The 5,022-nt window shown below is 49.4% G+C and overlaps 1 protein-coding gene across 13 annotated transcripts in view; it reads left to right on the top strand.

Annotated features, from left to right (window-relative positions):
- Nucleotides 1-4,851, top strand: part of RSPH10B2 (radial spoke head 10 homolog B2) — a 46,666-nt gene extending 41,815 nt beyond the window's left edge. For 12 of the 13 annotated variants that reach the window (XM_024446904.2, XM_024446905.2, XM_047420783.1 and 9 more), the window contains 2 exons: nucleotides 2,654-2,852; nucleotides 4,449-4,851. In XM_024446904.2, coding sequence (XP_024302672.1) covers nucleotides 2,654-2,852; nucleotides 4,449-4,629 — 380 coding nt within the window. In that variant the 3' untranslated portion in view covers nucleotides 4,630-4,851. Of the gene's footprint in view, nucleotides 1-2,632; nucleotides 2,853-4,448 lie in introns of those variants that run through there. The other variant, XM_024446906.2, reaches the window with a different exon arrangement.
- The last annotated feature ends 171 nt before the right edge of the window (nucleotides 4,852-5,022 follow it).

Consider the following 5,022-nt stretch of genomic DNA (forward strand, 5'->3'; position numbering starts at 1 on the left):
CCTTTGCTGCTAGGCATCTTGGGGGGCTGTGTACATGCTCACCTTTGCTGCTAGGCATCTTGGGGGGCTGTGTACATGCTCACCTTTGCTGCTAGGCATCTTGGGGGGCTGTGTACATGCTCACCTTTGCTGCTAGGCATCTTGGGGGGCTGTGTACATACTCACCTTTGCTGCTAGGCATCTTGGGGGGCTGTGTACATGCTCACCTTTGCTGCTAGGTATCTTGGGGGGCTGTGTACATGTACACCTTTGCTGCTAGGCATCTTGGTGGGCTGTGTACGTGCTCACCTTCTCCAGGACCTCTCCTGTGTGTCCCTTAGCTTTTGCTCCACGTGGCACTGTCCTCCCCAGGCCACTGAAGGCCCCTTTTCATCAGCAGTGACTCCGTGTTGCCACCGCCAGGAATCCTGCTGTCACTTGAACCGATCTCTCCATAGTCAGGAAAAGCGTCAGCTTCTTGAAATACTCTTCACAGAGATTCGGCCTCTGTGACCCCTCGTCATCCTAGGTTTCTTCTCCCTCTGGTGCAAATCTGTGGGTTGTGTCATTTTCTCCCGCAGAGCTCAGCATCCCAGCAGAGACAGGGCATTCCTGCGGTGCCGTAATCAAGACGCACAGTTCCTGTAACAGAAATAGAACTGAAAATGGAACCCCAGCTAATGTGTTTTCCTGCTGATCTGATTAGCAGGGAAGTGATCTCTAGTCCCAGCTCCAACTGGATTTTGTCCTGGATTTCTCTGGTTGTTCCTTTAAGTCCCGTGTGCCAGTCACCAGTCCTGTGGCTCCTGCCCTGTGTCTTGTCAAGGATCCCCTTGACCCACGTGGCATCTCTTCCAGTACCATTTCGTCTGATTACTGCATGTGGCAGCCGTGACTTACTGTCCTCCAGCTTGTGGGTGTCTAGTTGAGAGTTCATGAATGAACATAAGACAATCTTGCAGCCAGGTGCAGTGGCTCACAGCCGTAACCCCAGAACTGTGGGAGGCCAAGGCAGGAGGATCACTTGTGCCCAGGAGTCTGAGACCAGCCTCGGCAACATAGCGAGCCCGTCTCTACAAAAAAAATATCAAAATTCACCGGGTATGGTGGCACACTCCTGTAGTCCCAGCAACTTGGGAGGCTGAGGCAGGATGACTGCTTAAGCCCAGGAGCTCGAGGCTGCAGTGAGCTGTGATTGCACCACTGCACTCCAGCCTGGGTGCCAGAGCAAGACCCTGTCTCCAACCAACAAAAAGGAATCTTCCTTCACATTCAGTCTTGTTCTGACCTTAGAGTCCTGGATTGCGTATAATTTGATTCTCTGAATTTTAAAATCTTCCAAGTGAATAGATAACCAGAATTGCTTAAAAAGATGGAAAAAATTACGGTAGTTTAAGATTTAGAGATTCTTTAGCCTAGACAAGAAAGATAGAGAGGGATAACTATAACTACTAGGAAATTACTTTTGTGAGAGTAACCCGTTGTCTAGTTCTCTAGGAGAGAGGATTCACTTGGGATACACAGCTATCCTTGTCTCTAAAGGGGTTTCAAACTCTGAATAAATAAAAGCTTTCGAATATTTTGTCCCCAAGACCTAGGCCGGGTGCAGAGGCTCATGCCTGTAATCCCAGCACTTTGGGAGGCCGAGATGGGAGGATTACTAGAGCTCAGGAGTTTGAGACCATGGGCAACATAGCGAAACCTTGTCTCTATAATAATTAGCTGGGTGTGGTGGCACCCGCCTGTGGTCCCAGCTACTTGGGAGGCTGAGGTGGGAGGATCATTTGAGCCCAGGAGTTGGAGGCTGCAGTGAGCCATGATGGTACCACTGCACTCCAGCCTGGATGACAGAGCATGACCTTGTCTCACAGTAATACTTAAAACAATTAGCCTCGTGTGGTGGTGCATGCCTGTATTCTCAGCTATTAGGGAGGCTGAGATGGGAGGATCACTTGAGCCCAGGAGTTCCTCCAGGCTTCAGTGAGCCATGGTCATGCCACTGCACTCCAGCCTGGGCCATAGAGTGAGAGCTTGTCTTTAAAAAAAAAAAGAAAAAAGCAAGAGAAACGAGTTTTTTTATTCTTGAAACATGGAAAATTAAAATATCAGAAAACCCAAATTCTTAAGATAGAAAAAAAAGAGGTGGCTGGGCACAGTGGCTCATGCCTGTAATCCCAGCACTTTGGGAGGCCGAGGTGGGTGGATCACGTGAGGTTAAGAGTTCGAGACCAGCCTGGCCAACATGGTGAAACCTCATCTCTACTAAAAATACAAAAATTAGCCGAGTGTGATGGCGCACGCCTGTAGCTACTCGGGAGGCTGAGGCATGAGAATCACTTGAACCCAGGAGGTGGAGGTTGCAGTGAGCAGAGATCACGCCACTGCACTCCAGCCTGGGTGACAGAGTGAGACTCTGTCTCCAAAAAAAAAAAAACAAAAAAGAAAAAACGAGGTAGCAGGAAACTCAAAGGGAAGGCTGACAATCCCAGCCAGGGTCTGCTGAGCCCCTGCCTTGTTCCAGGTGGTCATGGAAGCAGCGTCCTTACTCCTCTCACTTCTCCTGGCCGAGGAGAAGGGGGCCCACCCCAGGGAGGCTAGAACGAGAAAAAGCACGCAGACCCCCAATTGACAGCAGGATTGTATTCATGTTCAGCTTCATGAAACTCTATTCCAGAGAAATATGAGAGACCCAAGGATGATCGAGAGGAAGAGTTCAACACGTGGGTCAATAATACGTACGTCTTCTTTGTGAACACGCTCTTTCATGCGTATAAACGTGAAGAAGCTATCAAGGAGAAAATAAGGGCAGACAGGTTACGTAGCACAGCACAGGCCCAGCAGCGGAAGATGGAAGATGACGAACTGGAAGCAAGGTAACTTACGAGGTCCCTCCTCTCCTTCCCCAGCTGCTCGCTCTCTTCCTGTCTTCCGTAGCTGCCAGAACGCATCAGGACCAAGTGCTTTCCGGACAAGCCGTAATTTCCTATGGGCGTCGTTGACATAAAAAGGAATGAATATTTGGTCTCTGTTCCTGGCAGAACACCTGAAGCCTTTGTAACTTCCTGAGTAATGGGATAATGGGAGCATCTTTTGTTCTAATATTTGGTCTTAGTTTCTAGTTTTATTTTTTTTTTTTAGACAGGGTCTCACTGTCACCCAGGCTAGAGTGGAGTGGTATGATCTCAGCTCACTGCAACCTCCGCCTCCCGGGTTCAAGCGATTCTCTTGCCTCAGCCTCCCGAGTAGCTGGGATTACAAGCATGCACCACCACGCCTGGCTAATTTTTGTATTTTTAGTAGAGACGAGGTTTCACCAGGTTGTCCAGGCTGGTCTCGAACTCCTGACCTCAAGTGATCTGCCAGCCTTGGCCTCCCAAAGTGCTGGGGTCACAGGGGTGAGTCACTGCATGCAGCTATTTTCTATTTCTTGACCCAAGAGTTCAAAACCTGTGGACTCTTTGGGGTAATGACTATGTTGAGATGACTGGTAGCCAGGGGAGGGGCCCTCGATAGCTTCTCGCTGGAGCTGGTTGCCAGGAAACCAACCACGAGATTAGAAGGTTGGGACTTTCAGCTCCAGCCCAACCTCCCAGGAAGGGAGAGGGGCTGGAGATTGAGTTCAATAACTAATAGCCAGTGACTTAATCAGGTCTACATATTGGACCCTCCATAAAGTCCCCAAATGGGCTGGGCATCATGGCACATGCCGGTAACCCCAGCATTTTGGGGGGCCAAGGCAGGAGAATCACTTGAGTTTGAGACCAGCCTAGGTTAATACAGCAAGACCTCATCTCTACAAAAAATACAAAAATTTAGCCAGATGTGGTGGCAGGCGCCTGTAGTCCCAGCTACTTTGGAGACTGAGGCAGGAGGATTGCTTGAGCCTGGGAGGTTGAGGCTGCAGTGATTTGTTTGTGCCACTGCACTCCAGCCTGGGCAACACAGTAAGACCCTATCTCAAAAAAAAAAAAATACACACACACACACACACACACGTAACTTTGGGAGGCCAAGGTGGGTGGATCACCTGAGGTCAGGAGTTTGAGACCAGCCTGGCCAACCTGGTGAAACCCATCTCTACTAAAAATACAAAATATTAGCCGGGCGTGGTAGCGGAAGCCTATAATCCCAGCTATTCAGGAGGCTGAGGCAGGAGAATCGCTTGAACTCGGGAGGCGGAAGTTACAGTGAGCCGAGATTGCACCATTGCACTCCAGCCTGGGCAACAAGAGCGAAACTCTGTCTGTCTCGAGAAAAAATTTTCTTTTCATAGATAGATGAGAAGTTTATTTTGGACTGTGTCGACATGGCATCAGTTATTTCAGGCAGAGTGTAGCAACTTACAGTTTTGTTTACACATGCTGTTGAAATGCAGGTATGAAGGGCTGTATACTATAAATAGCCTAAAACTGGTTTTGCAGTTTGGAGGGGGATAAAAAAAGCTACCACCTTCTCATGTTTGCTTTTAGGCTGAACATCTTTATCTTGAGAGAGGAAGAGGCCAAGAGACATGACTATGAGGTGGACATCACAGTGCTCAAGGAGCCGGCAGACGTGTCATCCTCTCACCTCATACTGGACCCTCCCAAGGAGGATGTGACCGTGTCCCCATCCAGCAAGACCATCACCAGCAAGAAGAAGAAAAAGTAGAGAGACACGAGGACACACACACAGGCTTAGGATGGCACGTGCTGTAAGATTTCCTGAGCATTACAGTTCTTAGCACTGAACTCGTCACAGTGTTTTAACATACCCCTTGGCCCACTGCATCTCAGGTTTCCTACATGGCTGGATTACGGGAGTTCGAGACCAGCCTGGGCAACATAGTGAGACCCCCCCATCTCTGCAAAATTAAAACATCAGCCGACCGTGGTGGTGTGTACATGTGGTTCTAGCTTCTTGGGAGGCTGAGGTGGGAGGATTGCTTGAGCTCAGGAGGTTGAGGCTGCAGTGAGCCATTGCATTCCAGCCTGGGTCACGGAGCTGGTGGCCAGTGTAATCTATAAATAGGCAGCAGGAGAGAGACTCAACACCAAACCAGAA

This window comes from Homo sapiens, chromosome 7 (assembly GCF_000001405.40).
Source record: "Homo sapiens chromosome 7, GRCh38.p14 Primary Assembly".
NCBI classification, from domain to species: domain Eukaryota; kingdom Metazoa; phylum Chordata; class Mammalia; order Primates; family Hominidae; genus Homo; species Homo sapiens.